This window comes from Homo sapiens, chromosome 11, assembly GCF_000001405.40.
Source record: "Homo sapiens chromosome 11, GRCh38.p14 Primary Assembly".
Taxonomy (NCBI): domain Eukaryota; kingdom Metazoa; phylum Chordata; class Mammalia; order Primates; family Hominidae; genus Homo; species Homo sapiens.
The window spans coordinates 35,500,346-35,515,626 of NC_000011.10; the positions used below are offsets into that span (position 1 = coordinate 35,500,346).

The 15,281-nt window shown below is 38.4% G+C and overlaps 1 protein-coding gene across 4 annotated transcripts in view; it reads right to left on the reverse strand.

Annotated features, from left to right (window-relative positions):
- Window positions 1-15,281, reverse strand: part of PAMR1 (peptidase domain containing associated with muscle regeneration 1) — a 98,474-nt gene that overhangs the window by 68,519 nt on the left and 14,674 nt on the right. The window contains exon 3 of one of the 4 annotated variants that reach the window (NM_001282675.2): window positions 13,026-13,132. The exons of the other annotated variants lie outside the window; for them this stretch is intronic. The gene's annotated coding sequence lies outside the window, so the exon portion shown is untranslated. The remainder of the gene's footprint in view (window positions 1-13,025; window positions 13,133-15,281) is intronic. 4 annotated transcript variants of the gene reach the window in all.

Here is a 15,281-nt window from a genome sequence, read left to right on the forward strand (position 1 = left end):
TGAACTCATTCTTTTGTTTTTCAAGTATTTATTGAGTGTTGACTACATCCTAGGCAAGAGATGGGGCGCTGGAATACAATAGAAAAAAAATAGACATCATCACTAGCCTGATGGTGCTCACAGTTCAATAGAGAAGACATTGGTCAAACGACCCCACAAATACATAATCATAAACCACAACAGGGAAAACTTAGAATGCTATAAGAATGAATGAGTGGTCATGAAGGGGCATTAGCACCAAATCTACCGACCTCGTCGGGTTAGGGAGGTTTAAATAAAATTACAGAAAGAAATCCATCTACAGCTATGCATCACTTAATGACAGGCATACGTTCTGTGAAATGTGTCATTAAGCAATTTCATCGTTGTGTGAACATCAGAGTGTATTTACACAAATCTAAGTGGCATAGCCTACTACACACCTACACACAGGCTACAAACCTGTACAGCATGTTACTGTACTGAATACTATAGGCAATTGTAATACAACAGTAAGTACTGGTGTATCTAAACATATCTAAACAGAAAAAATATGGTATAAAAGATTTAAAAAATGGAACAGCTATATAAGGCACTTACCATGAACAGAGCTTGCAGGACTGGAAATTGCTCTGGGTGAGTCAGTGAGTGGTGAGTGAATGTGAAGGCCTAGGACATCACTGTACACTACTGTAGACTTTATAAACACCATACACTTAGCCCACACTCAATTTATCAAAAATATTTGCTTCAGTAATAAATTAACCTTAGTTTTCTGTAACTTTTTAATTTTATAACCTTTTTTTTTCTTTTTTTTTTTTTTTGAGACAGGGTCTCACTCTGTCACCCAGGCTGGAGTGCAGTGGCACAATCTCGGCTCAATGCAACCTCTGTTTCCCAAACTCAAGTGATCCTCCCACTTCAGCCTCCCAAGTAGCTGGAACTGCAGGCATGTGCCACCAGGCCCAGCTAATTTTTGTATTATTTTTGTAGAGACAGGGTTTCATCATGTGGCCCAGGCTGGTTTTGAACTCCCGGGCTCAAGTAATTCACCTGCTTTGGCCTCCCAAAGTGTTGAGATTACAGGTGTGAGCCACTGCACCCAGCCAATAAACTTTTTAGTGTTCACTTTTTGAGTCTTTTACAACAGCTCAAAACACAAATACAAGTACAGTTGTACAAAAATATTTTCTTTATGTTTTTATACTATATGTTTTTTCCTGTTTTTAATTTAATTATTATTATTTTTTTTTTACTTTTTAAACTTATTTCTTGAAAACTAAGACACAAACATACATATTAGCCTAGGCCTACACAGGATCAGGATCACTGCTCCCACATATGAGTAAGAACACGCAATATTTATGGTTCTGTGCTTGCTTATTTCACCTAACATGATAACCTTCAGTTCTATCCATGTAGCTGCAAATAAGAGGATTTCATTCTTTCGTATAAATAAATAATATTCCCTTATATATAGGCACCACATTTTCTTTCACCAATCATCCACCGATGGGTACTTAGGTTGATTCCATATCTTGTCTATAATGAATAGTGCTGCAATAAACATAAGAGTGGAGATGTCTCTTTGATATATTTCCTTTTGGATATATTCCCAGTAGCGGAATTGCTGGATCACATGGTAGTTCTATTTTTAGTTTGCTGAGAAACCTCCATACAGTTTTCCATAATGGCTGCACTAATATACATTCCCACCAACACTGTACCAGGGTCCCTCTTTATGTCTTCACCAGCATGTTATTGCCTGTCTTTTTGATAAAAGCCGTTTTAACTGGGTTGAGATGATATCTCATGGCGGTTTTCATTTGCATTTCTCTGCATTTTTTTCATATACCTGCTGGCCATTTGTATGTCTACTTTTGAGAAATGTCTATTCAGATCTTTTGCCCATTTTTAAATTTAATTAATTAATTAATTAATTTTTAAGTTCTGGGGTACATGAGCAACATGTGCCGGTTTGTTACATAGGTAAACATGTGCCATGATGGTTTGCTGCACCTATCAATCCATCACCCAGGTATTAAGCCTGGCATGCATTAGCTCTTTTTCCTAATGCTCTCCCCCAACCCACCTTCCTCTAACAGGCCCCAGTGTGGGTTATTCCCCTCCCTGTGTCCATGTGTTGTCATTTTTCAGCTCCCACTCATAAGTGAGAACATGCAGTGTTTGGTTTTCTGTCCCTGTGTTAGTTTGCTGAGGATAATGGCTTCTGGCTTCATCCATGTCCCTGCAAAGGACATGATCTCGTTCCTTGTTATGGCTGCATACTATTCCATGGTGTATATGTACCACATTTTCTTTGTCCAGTCTCTCATTGATGGTTTTGCCCATTTTTAAATCAGATTTTTTTTGATATTGAGTTGTTTTAGCACATTGTATCTTCTGCTTATTAATCCCTTGTCAGATGGATAGCTTGCAAATATTTTCTCTCATTCTGTGGTTGTCTCTTCAATTTGTTGATTGTTTCCTTTGCTGTGCAGAAGCCTTTAAGCTTCATGTATTAATAATCCCAGTTGTCAATTTTTGCTTTCATTGCTGTGCTTTTGACGTTTTCCCCAAAAAATCTTTGCCCAGATCAATGTCCTGGAGCATTTCCCCAATGTTTACTTTTAGTAGCTTCATAGTTTCATGTTGGATTTAGTTTTTAATTCATTTTGATTTGATTTTATGTATAAGAAATAACGGTCAAGTTTCATACTTCTGCATATACATATCCTGTTTTCCTGGCACTATTTATTGAAGAGACTGTTCTTTTCCCCATTGTATGTTCTTGGTACCTTTGTCAAAAATGAGGTGGCTATAAGAAATGTGGGCTTGTATCTGGGTTCTGTATTCTGTTTCACTGGTCTATGTGTCTACTATTATGTAAGTACCAGGCTGGTTTGGTTACTACAGCTTTGTAGTGTACTTTGAAGTCATGTAGTGTGATGTCTCCAGCTTTTTTTTTTTTTTTCTTGCTCAGGATTGTTTTGACTATTCAGAATCATTTGTGATTCCATATCAACTCTAGGATTGTTTTTTCTATTTCTGTGAAGAATGTAATTGGTATTTTGATTAAGAGTTGCACTGAAGATTCAGTGCTTTGAGTAGTATTGCTTTGAGTATAAATTGCTTTGAGTAGTATTGTCATTTTAATGGTATTAATTCTCCCAATCCATAAGCATGCAATATCTTTCCATTTTTTGTGACCTCTTTAATTTCTTTCATCAGTGTTTCATAGTTTTCCTTGTATAGCTCTTTCATTGCTCTGGTTAAATTGACTCCTAGGTATTTTATATTCTTTGTAGCTATTGTAAGTGGGTTACTTTCTTGATTTGTTTTTCAGATTATGTTGGTGTATATAAATGCTACTGATTCTTATAGGTTGATTTGTATTTTATGACTTTACTGAATTCATTTATCAGTTCTAACAGTTTTTTGGTAGAGTCTTTAGATTTTTTTTAAATATAAGATTATTTGGTCTGCAAGCAAGGCTAATTTGACTTCTTCCTTTCCACATTGGATGTCCTTGATTTCTTTCTCTTGTCTAATTGCTCTGGCCAAGACTCCCAGTATTATAATGAATAATAAAAGTGGTGAAAGTGGGCATCCTTGCCTTGTTCCCAATCTTAGAGGGAAACCTTTCCATTTTTTTCCCCATTAAATATGATATTGGCTGTTGGTTTGTCACATATGGCCTTTATTATTTTGGACTATGTTCTTTCTATGCCTAGTTTTTTCAGGGTTTTTATCATGAGGGGATGTTGAATTTTATCAAATGCTTTTTCAGCATCTATTGAAATGATCACATGGTTTTTGTTCTTGATTTTTTTGATGCATGTATCATGTCTGTTTATTTGCATATTATTTGAATCAACCTTGCATCCTTGGGATGAATCCCACTTGATCATGGTGAATGATCCTTCTAATGTGTTGTTGAATTCAGTTCGCTAGCATTTTGTTGAAGTTATTTGCATCTGGGCTCATCAGTGATATTCGCCTCTAGTTATCTTTTTTGCTGTTGTTCTATCCTCGTCTGGTTTTGATAATAGGGCAATGCTAGCCTCATAGAATGAGTTTGGAAATATTCCCTCTTCAATTTTTTTGGTAGAGTTTAAGGAAAATTGGTATTAATTTTTCTTTAAATGTTTGGTAGAATTCAGCAGTGAAGCCATCAGATGGTCCTGGGCTTTTCTTTGATGGGAGACTTTTTATTACAGCTTCAACCTTGTTACTCATTATTGGATTGTTGGGGTTCTCTATTTCTTCCTGGTTCAACCTTGGTAGGTTGCAAGTGCCCAGGAATTTATCCATTTCTTCTAGGTTTTCCAATTTGTTGGATTATAGTTGTTCATAATAGTCTCTAATAATTCTCTGTGTTTCTGTGGTCTTGGTTATGTCTTTTTTCATTTCTAATTTTATTTAATTGGGATTCCTCTTTTTTTTAATTTTAGCTAAAGGTTTGTTGATTTTATCTTTTCAAAAAACCAACTTTTTGTTTCATTGCTCTTCTTAATTTTTTTAGTCTCAATTTAATTTATTTCTGCTCTAATCTTTATATTTATTTCCTTCTACTTACTTTGGGTTTTTTTGTTGTTCTAGTTCCCTGAGGTGCATTGTTATGTTATTTGAAGTCCTACCACTTTTTTGATGTAGGTGTTTATTGCTCCAAACTTCCCTCTTAATACTATTTTTGCTGTACCCCATAGATTTTGGTATGTTGTATTTCCATTTTGATTTGTTTGAAGAAATTTTTAAATTTCTTTCTTAATTTCTTTATTGACCCATTTGTCATTCATAGGCACATTGTTTAATTTCCATGTATTTGCATATTTTCCAAGGTTCCTCTTGTTATTTATTTCTAGTTTTATTCCACTATGGTCAGAAAAGATAACTGATATAATTTCAACTGTTTTGAATTTGTTGAGAGTTGCTTTATGGTCTATTCTGGAGACTGTTCCATGTTCTGATGAAAATAATGTGTATTCTGTAGCAACTGGGTGAAATCTACTGGGTAAATGTCAGTTGGATCCATTTAGTCTACTGTGTAGTTTAACTCCAATGTTTCTTTATTTTTTGATTGAATGATCTGTCCATTGCAGGGAGTAGGGTGTTGAAGTCCCCTACTGTTATTGTATTGCAGTCTAACTCTCCCTTTAGATCTATTAATGTTTTCTTTATATACTTGGGTGCTCTATTGTTGGGTGCATACATTGTTGGGTGCATAGATATTTATAATTGTTATATCCTCTTGCTGAATTGACTTCTTCATATTATATAGTGACCTTCTTTGTCTCTTTTCACAGTATTTAACATGTATGCTATTTTATCAGATAGAAGTATAACCACTCTTGCTCTTTTTTGGTTTCTACTTGCATAGAATTTCTTTTGCCATCCCTTCACATTCAGTCTGTATCTGTATAAGTGAGGTGGGTTTCTTGTAGGCAGCATATAATTGAGTCTTGTTTCTTATCCATTCAGTCATTCTATGTCTTTTAGTTTTGGAGAATTGAGCTCATGTAAATTTAGAGTTGTTATTGATAAGTAAGTACTTCTATTGCCATTTTGTGGCTTGTTCTCTGTCATGTAACTCATCTCTTCCTTTGTTCCTTTTTTACTGTCTTCCTTTGTGGTTAAGGGTTATTCTCGGGTAGTATGTTTGAATTCATTGCTTTTTATTTTTACTGTATCTATTACAGATTTTTTTTCATTGAGTTACCATGAGGTTTACAAAAATATCTTATAGATATAACAAATTATTTTAAACAGATGACAACTTACCTTAGATCACTAAAAAAAAAAAACAGGAAGAAAGAAAACAGCTTTTAAAAAATTCTACAATTTAATTCCATCCCTCCCACATTTTAACTTTTTGTTGTCTCAATTTACATATTTTTACACTGCCTATTTCTTAACAAATGGCTGTACTATTATTGCTTTTGACAGATTTGTCTTTTAGGCTTCATACTAGAGTTATGAGTGAATGACCCACCACAATTTTAGTATTAGAGTATTCTGGGGTTATCTGTGTATTTAATTTTACCAGTGGGTTTTATACCTTCAAAAAAAATTTTTTTTGCATGTTAGTGTTTTTTTTTTGTTTTTTGGTGTTTTTTTTTTTCAGATTAACTAACTTCTCTTAGCATTTCTTGTAAGATGGGTCTGGTGGTGGTAATTCTCTCAGCTTTTGTTTATCTGAGAAAGACTTTATCTCTTTTTCCTATTCAAAGGGTAGCTTTGCTGGATGCCATATTCTTGGGTGGCAGGGTTTGTTTTTTTTTCAGCACTTTGAACATGTTGTCCTCCTCCCCCATGACCTGAGTGGTTTCCACTCAGAAGTCTGTTGTCAGACAAATTGGAGCTTCTTTTGTATGTTATTTGCTTCTTTTCTCTTACTGCTTTTAGGGTCCTCTCTTTGTCCTTGACTTTTAAGAGTTTGATTAGCATGTGCCTTAGGGTAGTCTTATTTGGGTCAAACCTGTTTGGTGTTCTCTGACCTTCCTGCATGTGGATATTTATATCTTTCTTAAGTTTAGAAAGTTTTTTAGTTCTTTTTTTTTTTTTTGAATAAGCTTTCTACGCTTTGCTCTTGTTCAACTCTCTCTCGGATACCAATAATTCTTAGATTTATTCTTTTGAGGTAATTTTCTATATTGTACAAATCATCTTTGTTCCTTTTCTTTCTTTTTTCTCCTCTATTTTCAAATAGCCTGACTTTTTTTTTTTTTTTTTTTTTTTTTTGACAGAGTTTTGCTCTTGTTGCCCAGGCTGGAGTGCAATGGTGCAATCTCAGCTCACTGCAACCTCTGCCTCCCAGGTTCAAGCGATTCTCCTGCCTCAGCCTTCCCAAGTAGCTGGGATTATCGGCATGCACCACCAAGCCCGGCTAATTTTGCATTTTTAGTAGAGATGGGGTTTCTCCATGTGGGTCAGGCTGGTCTTGAACTCCCGACCTCAGGTGATCTGCCCACCTTGGCCTCCCAAAGCACTGGGATTACACGCATGAGCCACCATGCCCAGCCTCAAATAGCCTGACTTTGAACTCACTGATTCTTTCCTCTGTGTGATCCATTCTGCTGTTGAAAGCCTCAAATTTTTCAGTTCAGCAGATGTATTTCTCAGTTCCAAGATTTCTGTTTGGTTTCTTTATTATTATTTAATCTCTTTGTGAAATTTTTCTGATAAATTTCTGAATTAATAGTCTGTGTTATCTTAGCAATCACTGAGATTCTCTAAAACTGCTATTTTAAATTCTTGGTCAGAGCTCACATATTGCCATCTCATTAGGGTCAGTCACTCTCCCTTGTTTTGTCCATTTGGGGAAGTCATGGTTCCCTGTTTGCTGTTGTTTTTTGTGCACATCTTTGTTTTTGCATTGAAGGATTATTTATTTTAGTCGTCTCTGTATGGCTTGTTTTATTTTTTACTGGGTATGTTTGCTTAGAAATTCTTTGTAATTTACCTATTGAAATCTTTTTTTTTTTTTTCCTGCTGAGTTGCTACTTCTTTTTGGGCAGTAGATGGTGTCTTAAGCCCAGATTTGCCTTGGCTCTAGTAAACAAACAGAAAACTGCCTGTTCCAAATTGGGGAATTCCCAAAAGGAATATCCCAATAGTTTTGAAAGGCTGGCTAGGAGTTCATGCCTGGGGAACTTGTGGATGTACCTCCTGCAGCATAGTGCCACTGAATCACCACTCTGATTTGGTGTTTCTTTTTGCTGCGTTAAAGAGCAGAATTTCCAGGGCTGTGGATGGTAGTCCTTTCTTTCTCTGGCTTGTCTCTTGCTGTTGCCAGGGGTATTTTTCCCTTCAGGTACTTACAATGGTTCCTGTGCACTTTGAGGCAGGAAAGGATCTCTTGTCAAAGAACCCAAGATGGTGGGGAAGCTGGTTATCCACCTCAATATCAGTTTTTCCAGTGTAGAAACCATGAGTCAGAAGAAAATTTTCAACATGCTTTGTGTTGGGAAGACTGTGGAGAGGGACATTATGGATATGGAAGTTCAATTCTCTTACCATCTGCTCAGAGTTTTTTCACTTCTCTGTGGCCCTTGAAACTCAGTCATCCCCATATTTGAGTTCTGGGACTTTGCTACTGAAAATCTCAGTGCTATATATTTACTTTTGGTTTTGTGTCAGGAGAGTAAAGCTAGCTTGCTTCTATGCCACCATTTTGGAAGCAGGAACCTCCATTTTTTTTTTTTTTTTTTTTTTTTTACTTTTACTTCAGGTTCAGGGGTACATGCACAGGTTTTTTTATGTAGGTAAACTATGTATCATGCAGGTTTGGTGTACAGATTATTTCATCACCCAGGTAATAAGCATAGTACCTAAGAGATATCTTTTTATGCTCATTCTCCTCCCGCCCTCCACCTGCAAGTAGGCCCCAGTGTCCATTGTTCCCTTGTGGAACACGTGGATACAAATCCATGTGTACTCACTGTTTAACTCCCACTTATAAGTGAGAACATGGAGTGTTTGGTTTTCTGTTCTTGTGTTAGTTGACTTAGGATAATGGTCTCCAGCTCCATCCATGTTGCTGTGAAGGACTTGATGTCATTTTTTATGGCTGTGTAGTATTCCATTGTGTATATGTACCACATTTTCTTTATTGAGTCTACCATTGATGGGCATTTAGGTTGACTCCATGTCTTTGCTATTATGAATAGTGCCCTCTATTAAAAAATTATGAGAACACCATCATATATGCAGTCTGTCATTGACCAAAATGTCATTATATAGCACATGACTATATTTGCAAAAATAAAACCAGTTCCAAGCAATATGGAGGTGATGGTTTGGATGATTTTGTAACTTTGTTCCTTCCCCTCTGGTTTGATAAATCCACTATCCCTCTTTCTCTCCCAGCTTGAGTAGAGACAGAAAAGTACCCCCGAAAAATGAATGTGTAAGAAATAGATACATGAAATATATTTTGAGAAATATTTCAAGTTAACCAGCTAAAGACATTTTAAAATTCAATAAATAGACAAGAGCAACATCTTGTTGCTTGCATTTTTTTTCCCCTTGATCATAATTACATTTGTGGAAGGGCCACATTGGCCATTTGGCTTCAGCTGTACAAATTTCAGGGAATTTCAATGTGGTGCTAAGGGCCAGTTCCAGAAACTAGGATTTAGAGCAATATCAACAGCAGTAGAAATTATTGAATGTTTTCCTGTATGTATGCTAAAGCAATTTAACATTATTTCAGCTAAAATGTTTTTAAATTCTTAATGCAATTTAATCTTAAAAATGATCTAGTTAAGTTGCTAATAAATTTTATTTTAAATTAAAATTATTTAACCCAACTCCTTCACTTTACCAGTGAAGAAAAGGGTGAAGTAGGGAAGGATTGGTCTTATTTATTGAAACAAAGAGAAATACCAAAGAATCTTTTTTAAAGAATTAATTCTGGGAGAAAAGAGGGGTTCACAGAATTCCAGGGGTAGGGAGAGGGGCAGTGAACAAGCCTCCTACTTAGGAGGAAAGAGCTGGGCCAACTTGTAGTTTTGCCAGCTACTGGAATTGAGCAAACTTAACTTTGCTTTTCACATTTAAAGGCAAAGCCTTATGAAAGCTGCAAATAAATTTTACCTTGTCGGTGCTTCCCAATGAATAAGCACAAAGAAAACACAAAGAACTCATAGACCCCACACTGGGATAAACCAAGGCACTGAGAAAACAAGCATATGCCCATGATCACACAGCAAAATCAAGCTTAGGGAGTTCTGGGTGCTACACACATTCATTCATCACTAGCTCTTCCATTGGATAAAATATTTTTTTCTTTATAAAACACTTAAGACTTCATTTTTAGAGCAATTTTAGGTTCACAGCAAAATTAAGAAGAAGGTATAGAAATTCCCCACATACCCTCCCTCCCACAATTGCACAGCCTCCCCATTATCAACATCCCCACTAGAGCTGTGCATTTGTTACAACTGATGAACCTACATGGACTCATCATTATCACTGGAGCCCACAGTTTACATTAGGGTTCACTCTTGGTCTTATACATTCTATGGGTTTGGAAAAATGTCTAATGACATGTACCCACCATTAGAGTATCCTACAGAGTGGTTTTACTGCCCTAAGAATTCTCTGTTCTCTGCCTATTCATCCCTGCACAACCCTCCCCGCCCCCACCCCCGGAAACAGTACACTTTTTATCCCCCCAAAAAAAGAGTTCCTTGTGAAAATGTTTGGAAAATGAAGGAAAGTCTAAATAAGGAAATTAAAGGTATTCAGAAAAGATGTCAACATTTTGATGTCTATCCTTCAAGTCATGTTTTCAATGGGCATATATATCCACATGTAGGTATTAACAAATGTATAAACATAGAGTCTTATTATCTCTCAAAATTGGTAATATGTTTTATTTTAGAAACTGTTTCTTTTCTTGTATCACGAACGTTTTCTCTTGGCATTGAATAGTCTTTATACGAAATTTTAAATTGCTGCATAATTATTCTATGTGTGCAAGTGCTCCCCTGATCCCCTCTTTAAAATCAGAATAAAAAAATATTAAGACAGTTGCAAAGTATTTTGGCATCATAAGTCCAAACACTTCTCTCAACTTCCATGGTTATGGGCAGCCATCCTGGCATCTCCTATCTAAAGTGGGAAGTCCAGTTATATTAGTCCAGCCCTGTTCCTTTCAGAATTCACTTTGGCAAATGTAAGACATTTAACCTCTTGGTCCTGTTTCATCAATGAGAATAGCAAGTCATTGAAAACAATGCTGACCAACTGGCACAGGTTCAGCTTTCATATATTTAGTAAACAAATGAATGAATGAGTGAGTGAAAGAAAGCTGTCATAATCATCATCATCTTGCACAGCCCCTCACCAGGCTGACAAAATGTGCTTTACAACTATCCAATACTGGTCCGTTTCTACTGCTGATAGATGGAGAAGCATGTAATCCCTCAAACAGCAGGGGCTTAGCTATGCAGAAGGACAGGAGCAGCAAATGTGCCCCTCAGGCATCGTCTGCAAGTGCAATGTCTTCAACATTATATTTTAAGAAAATATGTTGCCATGATGGCTGTTAAGGTCAACCTGAAAAGACTCTGAGGATTCTGTACAAACACAAGGGTCAGGCTGTTCCAGACCAAATAGAAACATCAGATGTCAGACTAAAGGCCCTGGCCAAGACCACCCCAGAAGGTGGCAAAGAAAGACACTTTTGTCATGTGCCTGTTCCTCTTCCTTGATGTTAAAACCTACCTTTGAGTCCACCAAAAGCCCCACAGCTCTCCCTTCTAACCACATTTAATTAAAATTTCTACTGAGGTTTTATTTTTACCGTCTGAATTCTATAAACTTTCTGAGACCAGAGGGAGAAAAAAGGACATAGGAAACAGAGAGAGATACAACTAGGCAGCTTGGGCTCCTCACCCATCCCTACTCACTGCCCCCTCATCTTGTGCTGTCTGAATCTCTGGTATTGATGTCTAAGCAGCACACAACATTCCTAACCGCTGGAGGATCTGACCACCGGCTCCATGGGGCTGATGACACCGACAAGGCCAAGCAGGAATGATGAGACTGTGAGTCAGAGGCGACAGATTGCTTGCTGGGGCTCTTGGTGATTCTATCCCTCCCCCTGAGCTTTTGAGAGCCAACCTGTCACCAAGTGACCCTCAGTCTAGCCTGGCTGGATCTCAACCTCGGTGACCTCAGTCTTCTCCTTCCTTCTCACAGCTGCTCCTGTTAACAGCATACTGACAGCTGGAGAATCAAGGCCATCATCACCCTCCCTTTGGGTACCAGGAGTGATAAAACTTTCAATGGATTTGCTAGAAATCTGATTTTTTATCATGTACCCTGAGGAGAGGTAGAGGATCGAAAATGAATGTGTTGCTTTCTTTCCTTTCTCATCCTTTATTAAGCACACTGTCTCACACTGTGGCTTTTCATTCATCCTCCTCTACACCCAGCACCCACTAAGGATATATATGAGCCCTTGACACATACCAGCTCATTATATTCTCATAACCTCCCTTTGAGGTAGGTTATTTTCTTCATTTAGCAGATAAGGAAACAGGGTAAATAAATTGCCCCAGGTAACACGGCTTTCAGGTGAAAAGAAAGATCAGAACTCAGCTTTTTGGGGCCAAAGCCTTGCTCTTTCCAACACAATAATTGGTTCCTGAGAGTTCATGCCTCTGACTTTACAGTTGAAGAAGAAAGCAGCATTGGTGAGTAGAAACATCCAGAAATGAGGCTGCCCAAATTTGAATCCCAGCTCCACCAGTTCCCAGGTGGCCTTGGGCGAGTCACTAAACTTCTTAGTTTTCTCGTCTGTGAAATGTGGGTAATAATAGTACTTCTTCATGGTTGTGATGAGTATACAAAACCTAATAAAAGGAAAATGGTTAGGGTGGGCATGGTGGTTCATGCATGTAACTCTAGCATTTTGGGAGGCTGAAGCTGGAGGATCTCTTGAGCCCAGGAGTTTGACACCAGCCTGGACAGCACAGCGAGACCCCATCTTTTAAAAATATAAAAATTAGTTGGGCATAGTGCCATGTGCCTGTAGTCCCAACTACTCAGGAGGCTGAGGTGAAAGAATCGCATGAGCCTGGGAGGTCGAGGCTGCAGTGAGTTGTGATCACACCACTGCACTCCAGCCTGGGTGACAGAGTGAGACCCTGTCTAAAAAAATAAATAAATAAAGGAAAGTGGCGAGCAGGATGCTCAGTAAGCACTTAGTGTTATCATGTTTAAGATCAACAATCATGCTCTGAGTCTTATCAGTAGTCTATTCAGAACAGAGCTCTGCTTCCAATAGTGACACCAAAGGAAAGTTTAGGGGAGATATTGTTATATTCTGAGATCACTGAAAATGGTTGATGAATAACCTGTTTCAGATACTAATAGCAAACACCTTCACAGCACTTTCTATATACCAGACACAGTTCTAGGTTGTTCATCTATATCATCTCATTTAATCCTTACAACAACCCTATAGCATAGGGACAATTAACACTTCTATTTATAGATGAGAAAACTGAGGTCCAGAGGGGTTAAATACTCACAAGTAGTAAGTAGCAGAGACAGGATTCAAATCCAAGTAGGCTGTTTCCAGAGTCAGAGAGCATTAACCATCATGCTGGTCTGGCTCTCAGGTATGTCGTTCATCATTCTGAATGGCAACAACAACAATAAACTTACATGGAGAGCTTGCTCTGAGCCAGAAACCATGCCGAGTGCTTTCCGTGTGTTTCTCTGTGTTCTTTCATTTAGTCCTCACAATTGCATTACTATCTTGCATTTTATATATGAAGAAACCAAGGCACAGAAAGATTAAGTACCTTAATCAAGGTTATACAGTAAGTGGCAGAGCTGGGACTCAGTCTGTGTGCATCAGAAGCCCATGTTCTCATTTACAACACACTCCCCAGACCACCTGTATTGAAACTACCTGGGATGCTTGCTTAAAAGTCTTATTCCTGGACCACAGTCCAGACATCTTCCCTCAGAATCTCTGGAGGTGGGAGCAAAGTCTCTGCCTCTCAAATAAGCATATTCCTTTGAAAATCACAGTTTGGTGATGCTGCTTTTACTATATCCAGGAGAATGCGTTACCAAAAAGGCACCTTCCCTCCAGTCCATGTAAAGCTGTACTTTGCACTGGTTCTCCTTTCCCACTTGTCTAAAGATGAAAGATAATAATCCTGACTTCTTAGTGGCCTTGAAAGGGATTCTGATCTTCTGGGCTATACTCTGAACCCACATCCATGGAATCTGCCCCTCCTTTATGCTGCTGGACAACCACGGACAAGAAACCTTGCCACGGCATTTCCCTACAGCCTCGAGAGGATGGAGGCACAGGGATGAGATTGTTGATGTCACTGCAGTTGAAAAAACACAATGAGCATAAAGGGTTTTTGAAGAAAAAAATGCATATTTGTCAGACATTACCATTATTCTCTGCAGAACAGAAAAAGACACAGATGGCAAGGGAACGAAGGAGGCGAGATGTAATGTCTCCTCCAGGGGCCCACACATACATGGCCTTTTCAAGCAGTCTGTTCAGGTTTATATCATGGCATTGTGGGCTCCACCCACTTGCTTTTACATTTCCTAGTCCCTTTTCTCTAATCCCTCTTCCATTTATCTTGCCCCCTGCTGCTTTACTTTAAAAACAGAAATTCTACATCCATACCCAAAGGGAACAAAACCCAAACTCTAGGAGCTTGAAGGTGCCCCCAGTTGCCATTATCCTCAACAACTGTGGTGCTGGAAATCCTTGAAGGACAGCTGCTTCTGGGTTATTTCAAATGTTGGAATATGAGCTGAATAGGTCTTATTTTTATTAGCATTGGTTACTGAATAAAATAATTGAATAATGCATCTAAAAATATTTGGCGGCCAGGTGTGATGGCTCATGCCTGTAATCCTAGAGCTTTGGGAGGCCGTGGTGGGGAATGGCTTGAGGTCAGGAGTTTGAGACCAGCCTGGGCAACATAGCAAACCCACCCCCGCACCACACCCCCTGGTTTCTACAAAAAATTTAAAAATTAGCTGGGCATGGTGGTACACAACTGTGGTCCCAGCTACTCAGGAAGCTGAGGTGGGAGGATCACTCGAGCCCAGCAGGTCAAGACTGCAGCAAACCATGATTGTGCCACTGCACTTCAACCTGGGTGACAGACCAAGATCCAGTCTCAAAAAGAAATAAATAAAACTTGGCTATACAATTCAACAAATATTATATCAATCAAAGCACTAGAATGACGACATTAAAAACAATGAAATATAAGCTATACCCTAAAAATCCAATCTCGTTTTCCCAAGACCCAAGAATTCTACAAACTATCCCACCTGTTCCCAGGCTTGCACACTTTAAAATCTTCTTTCTGAGTCAGAGTGCATTAGGACTACATCAGGGGTCTTGATCTGCCACTGTCTACCTCTTTGCCAAAAGCTTCCAGAATTACTGTTACTGTCCTCCTATCCAGATTCCCCTATGTGAAGCAGAAGCCAGATTTTCTGTCCACCAAAGGCAGCTGGCCAACAACAGATGTCAAGTGTAGAAATATGTTGAGCCAGGGTGATGCATTTGTAATGGTATGTCCAATGGGTCCCGAAGCCCTGAGCTGACAGCAACTTCAGGCAGGCTAGTCCTTATTATAGTTACCTCCCCCAGCTCTGCAAGCTAGAACACGATCAAGGGAAACTTCTTTTTGCCTGAGGATTCCTGGCTGGCTCTAAGCTTGAATCACAACAGGTGGATGGCCATGAGCAACGTCTCATCTGCAGACTTTTAAGGGGGCCTCAGTGTTTGGGGT